General features: G+C 34.1%; 1 protein-coding gene across 11 annotated transcripts in view; it reads left to right on the top strand.

The window, feature by feature from the left end:
• The window catches only part of MGAT4C (MGAT4 family member C), an 883,334-nt gene that overhangs the window by 827,325 nt on the left and 43,399 nt on the right, over nucleotides 1-12,610 (top strand). Inside the window, exon 3 of one of the 11 annotated variants that reach the window (NM_001351282.2) lies at nucleotides 10,095-10,182. The exons of 9 other annotated variants lie outside the window; for them this stretch is intronic. In NM_001351282.2, the coding sequence (NP_001338211.1) occupies nucleotides 10,095-10,182 (88 nt within the window). Of the gene's footprint in view, nucleotides 1-9,197; nucleotides 10,183-12,610 lie in introns of all 11 variants that reach the window. One more of the 11 variants, NM_001351291.2, reaches the window with a different exon arrangement.

The raw sequence follows: 12,610 nt of genomic DNA, 5'->3' as shown, positions 1-12,610 counted from the left end.
TGGATTTAAAATATAAGTTTAAATGGCTACCTATTGGCCCTATCCTACTACCTAGGAATTAACTTGCTTCAATTCTCTCATCCCGTTTTCTACTATACTATTATAAGCCAACAACATCTCTCTCATGTAATGTGGTTCTCTCCTCTGTTGTAATATTCTGAATTATACTGGTTGATGGTCAGGCAGAAAATATTCTTTCTTAATCTCTACCTATCATATGTGCTTTGTTGACCAAAACTCACACCAAAATTAAAATTCTAAAAGATAACTTTGGATTTTTTATATTCTCTGTCTTTGCTAATGTTTAAACTATTGAAACTATGAAATTCTGAGATAAGAATATTAATTTCCTTCACTGTGTTTGTGAAGTGAATTCATAAACCTGCGCTTATGTCTCTAAAAGTTCTTGACTTATGCAATTTACTGCTGTGATATTTGGCAATTTTTGGCCTCTTGATCTATATTGGGCTGTGAAAATTAAAGGCCCCTATTATTAGGAATTTTGACTTCTTGCATCTTCTGTGTTTCTGATTTAGAAAGTTGCTCATTGTATTATATTTCCCTTTGTGATTGTGTTGGTGTGTTTTCTGTTGCTATCTCAGAATACAGAGACTGGGTAATTTATACATACAGAAATGTATTTCTACAGTTCTGAAGTCTGGGAAGTCCAATATCAGGTAGCAGCATCTGGGTGGCTTCTGGTGAGGGCCTCATGCTACATCACAACATGGCAAAAGGCATCACAAGACTAAAAAGACACAAGAGAGTCAAGCTAACTTTTATAACAGACCCACTCTTGTGATAACTAACCCCTCCTGTGATAACCCACTAATCCATTAGCCCATTAATCCATGAATGGATTAATCCATTCACAAGGGCAGAAGCCTCATGATCCAGTCACCTGTTAAAGGCCTCACCTTTTAATACTGTTACACTGGGGATTATCTTTCAACATGGGTTTTGTGTGTTTGTTTGTTTGTTGGTTTGTTTGTTTGTTAGAGACAGAGTCTTGCTCTGTCACTCAGGCTGGAGTGCAATGGCACAACCTCAGCTCACTGCAACCTCCGCCTCCCGGTTTCAAGCAATTCTCCTGTCTCAGCCTCCTGAGTAACTGAGATTACGGGTGTGCACCACCACGCATGGCTAATTTTTGTATTTTTAGTAGAGACGGGGTTTCACCATGTTGTCCAGGTTGGTCTCAAACTCTTGACCTCGTGATCTGCCCGCCTCAGCCTCCAAAGTGCTGGGATTATAGGCATGAGCCACCATGTCTATCCTCAACATGGGTTTTAAAAAAGACAAACATTCAAACCATAGCACTAGTAGTTTTGCAGATATTTTTCTTATATTCATTTTGGTATTTAGGAACTCTTGCAGTTTTGTTTAAGTAGTTACCTTTTACAATCATCTTTATTTCATTAGTCCTGTTTTCTAACTTTGCTTCTGATGTCTGTTTTGCTTTAAATAATAGTCTGTGACTTACACCTATTATCTATATGGTGTAGATATACAAACTTAGACTACTTCCCCCTTTCTATCTTCTTGTATTTTTAATTGGGTATTTTTTGACATTATCACAATATATAACATTTATGCATTATTCTTACACCATATTCCCTATGTCTGTTTAAAATTAAATATGCAATGAAATATCAAGTGATCGAGTGATTTTTCTGAATTTCTTCAGTAATTCTTGAGTACTTTACCAAGAATTGATAACCCCAAGACATATGTGATACCACTTTAAAGATAAAATATTCAGCAAGCCTCTAAGCTACACAACCAACTCATTTACATTTGTCAAGGCATTTATAATGGAAAGAAAACCAGGTAGGATTAGATTTTTCAGCAGTAAGATAGAAAGCAAGACAATAATGGAGCAACGTTTTTCAAGAAAATAAAGGAAAGAATGTGTAGGCAAAAAATCTTATAACCAGAAATATGCTTCTTACCATGATGGAGAAATAGGGGTCAGATTTGCCTCTATCCTTAAACAACTAAAAGAAAAGCAGAATTAATAAAAGTAAAACAAAATTTAGACATTATAAAAGAGGCAGAACAAGGCAGTGATTCCTGATTGGGGGGATGGGGTGGGAAATGAGGTCATTTTCGTAGCTTACTGGCTAGAGGTTCTGGGTTGCAATACAAGGAGAGTGAACTCAAAGACACAACTGATTTCTCTGAGTTGAAGAGACATAGCTAAGATATTTGGATTCTGCAGTGGCTGTAATTCACAAGCAGATACTAGAGAGGAGAAAGCTGCATGGAAAACACAACTGCAGGGAGGGAGAGAGAGAGAAAGGGATTATTTTATGTCTGAGCATTCATTATGGCATGTGTGTGAAGAAACTATTCAAGGCTACTAAAGAATCACTGGAAAGGAACAGTTGCAATGTCTTCTGGAACGCACACAGAAAAGAAGAGTAATTCTTATTTCTGAGAGTAATTATTCTAAAAGAGAATTATTCTAAGAGTAATTCTTAACTGAAATGAAAAAGTTTGTAATATGCAGGTCATTAGATAGAGTACTCAGAAGGGTATTGCCTTAGCTGTAAGGCAAAATTAGCCCTAGACTTAAGGTTTCTCTGAGATTGGCACTCCAATAGCAAAAGCTGACAACAATATTGGAAAATAAAAAAGAAAATTACATATCAATATTTCTGAAGAACATAAATGCAGAAAGAAAATCTTAGCAAATCAACAGTATATAAAAATAATTATATAATTATTTAATGTATACTTCTATTTGGTTTAAATTACAAAATCAGCAAGTATAATCCATCGTATAGCACAATAAAGGAGAAAAAAGCTCCCTCAATTCAACAGATGGAGAAAAAATATTTGACAAAATTCCACACTTATTCTCAATATCAAACCTTATCAATCCAGGAATAGAAGCAAATGTCCTCAGTGTGATAAGGTGCATCTGTAAGAAAACTACAACTATCTTCATACCTTACATTGAAATACTTAACGCTTTCTTCCTAACATCATAACAAAGCACAAAAGTTTGTTTTAATAACTTCTATTTAACATGTTACTGGAAGCCCATTTACTTATTGCCATTGAAATAAGGCAGCAATAACAGCAACAAAATGTTGAAGTCTTAGAGATTGGAAAAAAATATTAAAACTCTTTATTGCTTGTCAATATCATGATGGTTAAATTTAACAAGGTCACAGGATCCAAGGCATCAATATAGAAAAATAAATTGAATTTCTATGTAGTAGCAGAAAACATGTTTACAGAAAGCACTTGTTATAATAGAAAAAAGATAAAATTATTAATAATAAATTTTACAGGCATGAAAGATGTCAGCATCACTGAAAAATAAAACCATTGCTCAGACAAATTAAAGATGACCTGAATAAATGTAAATAAATACCATGTTGAGAAAAATGTATTTTTAGATTCAAATAATTTATTTGTACAACCAGCAAATTCTCAAATTCTAAATAGTTTTTCAGTAGAAATTGGTTAGTTGATTGTATAATAATTTACAGACTCAACAAATTTTTAATAAAAATTCTAGATTGTTTTTGTCAAAATTGACAATTGATGATAAAACTTCCATAGTAATGCAAATGACTCACATCATCATATTTCAGATAGTAATCCAGATAGTATGATATTGACATAAAGAAAAATAAATAGAGACATATACCTAATAGAGATTTCAAACATATAACCACACATATATATCCAACTGATTTTCAACAAAGGCACCCAATACAACTGAATAAATGGGATAGAAAAGGGACTTCATCCTCTTCTTCACACCATACACTTAATTTAAGATGGTTATTATACCTACCCTAAAAACTAAAACTATAAAGCCTCTAGAAGAAAGCATATGAGAATATTTCCATGATACTAATTAGGCAATGGTTTGTTAGAATACACAAAAGCAATACCATAAAAAATTAATGAACTTGACTTTATCAACAACATTAAAAATGGCTGCTCATCGAAAAATACTGTTCACCTTTGATAAATCATTAGAGTCTGTTGAAACCAATTAGTTTTTTGTTTTTATTGTTTTTTTCTGTTTGTTTAAACACATTTTTGTTTTAAAGTTTGTCGTATGATGATATTTATACTTTATTTGAATTCTACCAGACAAAAAAAGAGAAAACTTATTCTTGTTTAAATGGCACATTCATTATAAATTATAATTAACATATGAGCCCATTAGACCTTTTGGTAAATCTTATGATACACTACCAGATCATGGTGATCTTATATTTTTTATATCCTGAAATATCTTACTATTTCATGTTAATAGAGAGTATTTCATCACATATAAATTATTCTAACTGTGCTAAAGCATAGATTGAAATAATTAGAAAATGGAAGAATGATGGACTCATCTAGGTGGAAGATGCAGTATTGAAATAAAGCCCCATTTCAGGATAGTATTCTTCACTATTGGTATTGTGCTGCCCAAAATATTGCAGTCTTTCATGTATGTAAGTAAAATTCTAAAGACATTATCCTTTAATCTGTATATTTAACCATTCATTGAACACAGTTGAAAATGCAGAATTTTTAATTTTCCTATGATAATGATAAAGAGAAAAATATAAACAGAGGAAGATACTCTTTATATTAGTCATAATTATTAGAGGAATTATATGATTCACAATTATTAGATGAATCAGATTCTTAGATGCTGTTAAAGAAAGAAAATGATTCATCATGACCCTTATTACTGATAAAGTAGACTTTATTCAAGGAACTTCATGGAGGCTAATGCAATGGGTTTTGTAGTAGGGGACAGAGATTGGGCTAAACTCTGAATACAAAAGGAAAAGTAGAAGGTTATAGCCAAGGAGCAGGATGTGAGTCAGTGGATGGAAAAATCACTAAGAGGGTAGAGTAATTATTTGCAAAAATGACCCAGTAAGTTTCTTGCTTAAGGCAAGATAGATTTGTCAGTCATTACTTGAGGGATGGTGGTGGATGAAAAATTTGATCAGATGTTGAGAGGGATGAAATATGGAGAGCAGGGGATTTTGGCTAAGCCGACTCTACAGGGTAAGTGCTAAAACTAGGCTCTTGGAGGATATGCCCAACATGGGGCCTACTTCAGCTCAGAGGAGACTGATTAAAGTTTAGTCAAGGAGAGATTCTTTGTCAGTCCCTCCTCTTGTTCAAGAAAAGAAATATTCTTTTTTCCATTGAACAAAACAAGTCTGTTTCTTTTTGAGTTATCTTTTGCTCATTGAGGACCAGCTGAAACATCTGTTGGGATATGGTAGTATAATATATTTGCTGGATGGGTTAGCAGTCAGGAATTTAATGAGGGGAATTTCTATGAAAATTAACAAAAAAATTAATGGTTAGAAACCCAGTTTCTGATTCCACAGGGCCGCCATTCAAGAAGACATCTTGATTTGAGCTTGAAGAATCTTTAGATAGGGAAGTGGGGATGGCAGCGGCAAACTGACAAAGCTTCTGGGTTTGCAGGTTGAATGTTTTCAGTGACAGCATGAAGTGTTTCCATGAACATTCTGAGTGGCCCACACAGCAACAAGCACAAAGGCTGTCCATACATAATCTGTTACAGTGATTTCCATGATGTTTATATCACATAGTCGAGCTTCAGCTTGCAGAGTTTTGAAAAAAGGGCAGTTTTACATCTCATTGACTCCAAGTCAGGAGGGTGAGAGAAAATTGGAAGTTGTAGACGGATACTGGAAAAAAGCTAGAATAATCGAGAACTCACAAGAGTGCACTATATTTTTCCACTGGAACATAAAATGTATCTCTCTAGTCACACTTATTTTTTATCAAAGATAACCAAAATGAGGTTATTCTCTTTTAAAAGACAAAATAAATCTGGTCTCATTAGATTTGACCTGATTATTTACATAAGGAAAGGAAGAATGGTAATTGACCACATAGGTCTTTTTGAGTTTTCTTTGCTGGAACTTTTCATAAGGAATCTCAGGTTATAATTTCAAAAACCTTTTGAAGCTAAGAAGTCCAGCCAAGAACTAGCCATCAGACTTCACTTCTGGTACTTACAGATTTGAATGAATTCCTGTCTTCTTGAGGTTCCCAAGATAGCCCATCTTCCCTGGGCCTGCTAGGAAGTGATCTTCCTTACTCATCTGTAAGGCTAAGAACCCTAGAAGCCAATTATTATTGGGCCAGCTTTTTCAAGATAGCTTTGTAAAAATTGTTCCTTATTATAAAGTTAACCTCAGTTCCTAACTCAGATTCTATACACATCATTCTCAAATATGACATTGCAGTCAAAACCTTATAAATATAACCAATGTTTCCAATTGTGTTCTGTTACAAGAACAGATTCTTATTAAATTCATGTAAATAACTATATTGCCAGGAAAATAAGAATACTCAATAGTTTACAAATTCTGGAAGGATCAGGGAGAAAATATTATATGTACAAAAGTATAATCTACTGATTTTTACAAGTGTAAATGTTACTGAGTAAGCAATGGCTTCTCTGCCCAATGTGGCACAAGTCTTTGAGAAAATAAAGGTTTTATCATGAGTTTATTGGCAAGGAGACACAAGGCAGTGACCAAATCTGTCTCTTCAGGCTGGTGACTGGGGCAGGTTTTATAGGCAGAGGGTAACGAGGTGTGATCTGATTTGATCTTACAACGAGATGATGCCATGAGGCATGATCCGACTGGATTGTGCCATGGGGTGATGCCAGGACTTGATCTAATTGAATTATGTCATGAGATGTCCCCTTCTTAATTCAGTCCCTGTTTCTTGGTCCTAGAATTTAGTTTCTGCCTACAGTTACACATGTGGTTCATCTGAGCATAAGCAGTTTACATAAATTGCAACCCAGAACCCATGGCAACTGAAAAATAACTCACCATTTTATTATTCAAAGTTGAACCAGATTGGGCTGGTTCTGTGGTTCCATAAATAAGAGAAAAAGGAAGGGAGTGCTTATATCCACAAAATAGGACATTTAAGAACCAACAAACTGTCAAACAAAACCATAATCACTCTTCTTCACTTCATTATTGTCCATCAGAACAAATAATTCTTGTTCTCCTTGCTCTTGGGTTAGAAATTTCATGAACCCATTGGCTTGTCTACTCTAGTTCTGAAAATCCTTAATTCAGTACTATGGTCTCTAAATTAATCAACACCATCATGAAGCATTATGGCTTGTAGCTGATTGCAAATATTTTCAGAGAAGAATCAGAATATATGTGAATGACAAAAAATTTAAAATGGAAATTAACATATAATGAGAGTTCAACATAAAAATGATGCAAATGACAAGATAATTTGGCTATTTTTGAGGCATACAATAATAATTAGAGCCACCACTGATGACATTAAACTAAGAGATATTGTGGACAGCAGGGATATTGATAAATTTCTAGGAAATTTATATGATTTCTAAAATACCTAATAATGTTTGCCCATACAAAAATATAATCTAGGGAAAGTTAAAGTATCTTTTCTTATTTGAAAGTGTCTTTTCATGCAATGCAATGTATCAATTAAATAAACCAAATTATTTTTAGTATTTCTCTTTACAAGGTGAAAGAACAAATTTTTTGACATTTTTTAGGGTCCCTTTGAGAAATTTCAAGATCAGTTCAAAAACAAGATTTCACTTAAGATTTGTTTTGAAAAGGCAACACTGTAAAACATGTAAAATACTTTAGTGCTTTTAAATTGCAAGCTCTCAGTTCTCTTAAATAATCAAGGCCAATGGTAAAGGTTAACATAAACATAGAAAACTGTCTTGATAAGACACAAAATCTTGGCTTCCTAGGAAGATTACTTAAAAGGTAAAATGAACAAAAAGGCCTTTTACTGTAATCCAAGAAAACTGGCATTTTCCACAGAAAAAAAAATCTAGTTTTGCATTAATAAAGCATTGAGCTTTCTCCCTCTTCTTCTTCTTCTTCTTCTTCTTCTTCACAAAACTTCACAACTTCACAAAACTTCGTAATGACCTAGATATTTAGTGAGTATTTATTACTTAATACAGCTTAGAAAAACATTAAAACTTCAAGTTAACAAAAATAATTTGGAAACCGTTTTCAGCAACTATATTGCAACACCAGGCAAAGCTAGCCATAATCTCAATTTACTTCCCTGTTAACTGTTTTTACAGTTAACATCATCATGTTAGGCAAGCATCACAAAAGCAAAAACCAAAGAAGTTAAACACACAGGTTTTTGGTTTTATGGCTGTCTTGAGAAATATGAAGTAATGGGCATCAAACAACTCTTCTTTACTGCATCTTTACTTGTACACTTATTCTAAGGTCGAACTGATAATTTTTTTAATCCTAAGCATCTAGAAGACATATTACCTGATTCAACTAGTAAGCCCAAGTGGAATAAAAATGTGTATTCATATTATACTGAATGTTGATATATCAGAAAATGTAGCTGTTTTTACGAAACAAACAATATGAAGCTAGTATTAATTGCCAAATATACGTCCATTTCATGTGAATTTGAAAAGCATTTGAATTAGTTTCTGAGAGTTTTAGAAATATTTACCTTATATAAGCACACATTTATCACTGAAAATTGGAACAGAATTTAAGAAATTTTAGGCCAGGTGTGGTGGCTCACACCTGTAATCCTGACACTTTGGGAGACAAAGGTAGGAGGATTGCTTGAGCCCAGGAGTTCTGGACCAGCCTGGGCAACATGGTGAGACCCCATCTCTAAACAAAAATTGAAAATTAGCTGGGCATGATTGCGGACGCCTGTAGTCCCAGCTACTTGGGATACTAAGGCAAGAGTATCCCTTGAACTCAGGAATCCGAGGCTGCAGTGAGCTGTGATTGCACCACTGCACTCCAGCCTGAGTGACAGCGTGAGAATCTGTCTCTAAAACACAAAAAGAAAGTACTAAGTAATTTGATAATACCATCCACAGATAAATCTCATATATATTATGATATATAATCATATATATTACTCATACATATATGTAATATATATTCTATATATATAGAATGGGATATATGTATATTCTGTATATACATAGAATGGGATATATGTATATTCTATACCTATATGTATAAAATATAAGAATATATATTGCATATATATCTGTATATAAATGTAATGTATACATATATTATAAGAGATCTTAAAGGTTTTATTCTGAAACTTTAGCCAGGAGTTAGACAACACAGTAATACTCTCTTATTTCCTCTACTTTATAGTTTTATTCATTGTGTTTCTGACAGATGGAACAAGTTAAGGTTACCTTCTCAATATGAGGACTAAAGCTTTTAGCCAATATTTGTGGAGAAGACACATTTAAGATTTTCTTTTGCCCATACATGCAATGTTATGGAGGCTGTGACCACATTTTAGGCAAGAAACTGAAAGAACATCAAGCACCTATCTGGATGTCTCCAAAGCCTCATCTGGATAAAATATCCAATCTATTTTTCAATCAGCCTTTTTTTTTCCTTTTTCAACCTCAGACAATTGCTTTTGGGGTCCTAGAGTCCCTTGAAAGTTATGATGGAAATAGGAGACCTAAAGTTCAGGTGACTGAAGGGCTGAAGCAGGAAGGAAAAACGTCTGGGAGGACAGGTAGACAGAGGAAAGAGGTCTGAAGAGGCACATATCAAAAGATTCAAGAAAGCTGAAGGGAAGATTGAAGGTAGTAAAAGGATGAAGGAGGAGCAGAAGCAATGGGAAGGAAGAGATCTCAGAGGACTCACTTCGGGAAAATCTTCAGTTTCCCAAAGAGATCCTGAAGTCTCAAATTATCCTTAACAAAACCATGACCACAAGAAAGGAAGTGGAGTATACGATCAGTGAGAGTTTAAGAAGGGGGTTTCCGTTGACTAAAAAGTTACCGTGGGAGAAATAGGATCAAATAGAACAGAGTTGCCTCACAAAGAACCAAGGAAAATATTTCAGCTCAGGGATTCAAGAAGTAAATTCCCACTCAAAGACAGAAACAGGAAGTAAGATTTACAATTCAGCCAGTACCTTCCTAACAGAGAAGCATGTGACTATACCAACTTCTTACAAAAAGAAACAGGACTAACTCAGCCTCTGTATAGTGTACTCAGGCTCTCTCAGCCCTCACTGTGCTTCAACAGACTTATCATTTGGAGCACTGGCTCAGGAGTCGAAATCACCAATGGCTCATCCATCAATCAACCAGAAGTGAAGACGAAAGCTTCAAAGGTAGGTGCTTGGGATTCTGGGTCAGAAGATTGGGAATCCAATAATGAATTTGATCCTATACAAGTCATAGCAGCAAAAACTGTTAAAGAAAAAATTATAACACTGGTTAAAGATGGCAATTTAGACTTTATTCAAGGGATTTCAAGGGTCTACTGCCATGGGGTATTGAAGTAGGAGAAAGAGATTGTTCTCAATGCTGAATACAACAAAGACAAGTTGGAATTTATAGCCAAGGAAAAGAATGCAAGTTAGTGGATTGAAAATCATTAAGAGGGTAGATAATTTTTTGCTAAACTGGCTTGAAAGGATTCTTACTGATGGCAGGTCAGGGTGATCATATATTACCTGGGAGATAGTGGTGGGTGAGAAATTTGATCAGATATTGAGGGATCAGATATGGAGGATGGGGAATTCTGGCTAAACTGATTTGACAGGATAAGGAAATTGTCCTCCCTTCAACAAAATTATGAGCCATTGAAATTCCCAAGTGTATAGTGTCTTGATGGTGCAAACGCAGGAATAATCCAAACTAGTGATAAGCATGAGCCTGTTAGAAATATACTAGAAATATGAAACCACAGCTTACAAGAAGGATATGTTGCAGGTTCTGGCATGATAGTTGGGGAGCAGTTGATGAGGCATCGTAGATTTGGTAGACATATACTTTCAAAATTGGAAAAATTAGAAAGAAAATCTGGGTTAGCTATGTTTAGATGCTTAACATTATTTCTAATAAAGTTGTTTTTCAACATATTCATGTTTACTCCTACTATTCATAAAATTACTTAAAATGTTATCAAATAAAATTTAATAAAAATGCTTTATTAGATCTGGAAAATATAAATTATTTACTTCTCTTCTATTTTCTGGAGTAGCTTGTGTAGAGGAGGTATACTTTTTCCTTAAAATATTTGGTAGAATTCACTAGTGAAGACATATGGACCTGGAATGTTTTGAGAGGGATGTTTTAACTGCTTATTCAATTTTATTAATAGATAAATAATTTTTCTGTGTTGCAAGGAATTTCTCCATTTTGTTTAACTTGTCAAACTTATTAGCATATTTTTTCAAAATATACCATTATCCTGTAGAATCTTTAGTGATATGACATGTGTCTCATTCATGATATTAATAATGTCTTTTTTCTTGATCAGTATGGCTAGAGGAATATATATTTTATTGATCTTTTTGAAGGACCAGCATTTGTTTCTATTTTTTCTTATTCATTGATTTTTACCTTTACTTTTGTCATTTTTATTTTGTTTACTTTTTGCCTAATTTGCTCTTTTTGTAGCTTACTTTGGGGTTAGTTTACCCTTTTTTCTAATTTCTTTTAAAATTATTTGTATTTATAATTGACACAATTTTACATATTTGTGTGGTACAGTGTGATATTTCAATGCATGTGTATACATTGTACAATGATCACATTAAGGTAATTAGCATATCTGTCACTTTAAAGTTTTTTCGGTGATAACATTCCAAATCTTCTCTTCAGGATATCTTGAAATATACACTGCTTTGTTATTAGCTGTAGTCACCCTAATGTGTAATAGACTGCAAGAACTTATACTTCCTGTCTAATTGTAACTGTACCTCTCACCAACCCAGCTTCCATCTCCCCTCCCAGCCTCTGGTAATCACTATTCTACTCTCTGCTTTTACGAGTTCAACTTTTTTAGATTTCACAAATAAGTTAGATCATGCAGTCTTTGTTTTCCTGTGCCTGGCTTACTTCACTTAACATGTGCATTCTGGTTTCATCTGTGTTGCTGCAAATGACAGGATTTCATTCTATTTTATGGCTAAATAGTATTCCATTCTATTTTATGGCTAAATAGTATTCATTCTATTTTATGGCTAAATAGTATTCCATTGTGTATGTATATATATATATATATATATATATACACACACACACACACACATTTTCTTTACCTATTCATCTGCATATGGCACTTCTGTTGATTCCTTATCTTGGCTATTGTGAATAGTGCTGCAATACACAGGGGAGTACAGATACTTCTCTAACATATTTATTTGTCTTCCTTTGGATATATATCCAGTAATGGAGACACATTGTGAACATTTGTATATAATTTCGATTTCTTTAAATGTATTGAGACTTGTCATCCCCAAATCAGGTCTGTTTTAGAAAATCTTCTATGTGCATTTGAAAAGAATGTGTATTCTGCTTGATATGGTTTGGCTGTGTCCCCACCCAAATCTCATCTTGAACTGCAACTCCCACAATTGCCATGTGTCATGGGAGGCAGCCAGTGAAAGGCAATGGAATCATGGTGGCAGGTCTTTCTCATGCTGTTCTCATGATAGTGAATAAGTCTCATGAGATCTGATGGTTTTATAAAGAGGAGTTCCTCTGCACAAGCTCTCTTTGCCTGTTGCCATCCATGTAAGACATGACTTG

Source organism: Homo sapiens, chromosome 12 (assembly GCF_000001405.40).
Source record: "Homo sapiens chromosome 12, GRCh38.p14 Primary Assembly".
Taxonomy (NCBI): Eukaryota; Metazoa; Chordata; class Mammalia; order Primates; family Hominidae; genus Homo; species Homo sapiens.
The sequence above is the reverse complement of the archived record's forward strand: the minus strand, read 5'-3'. Positions and strand labels throughout refer to the sequence as shown.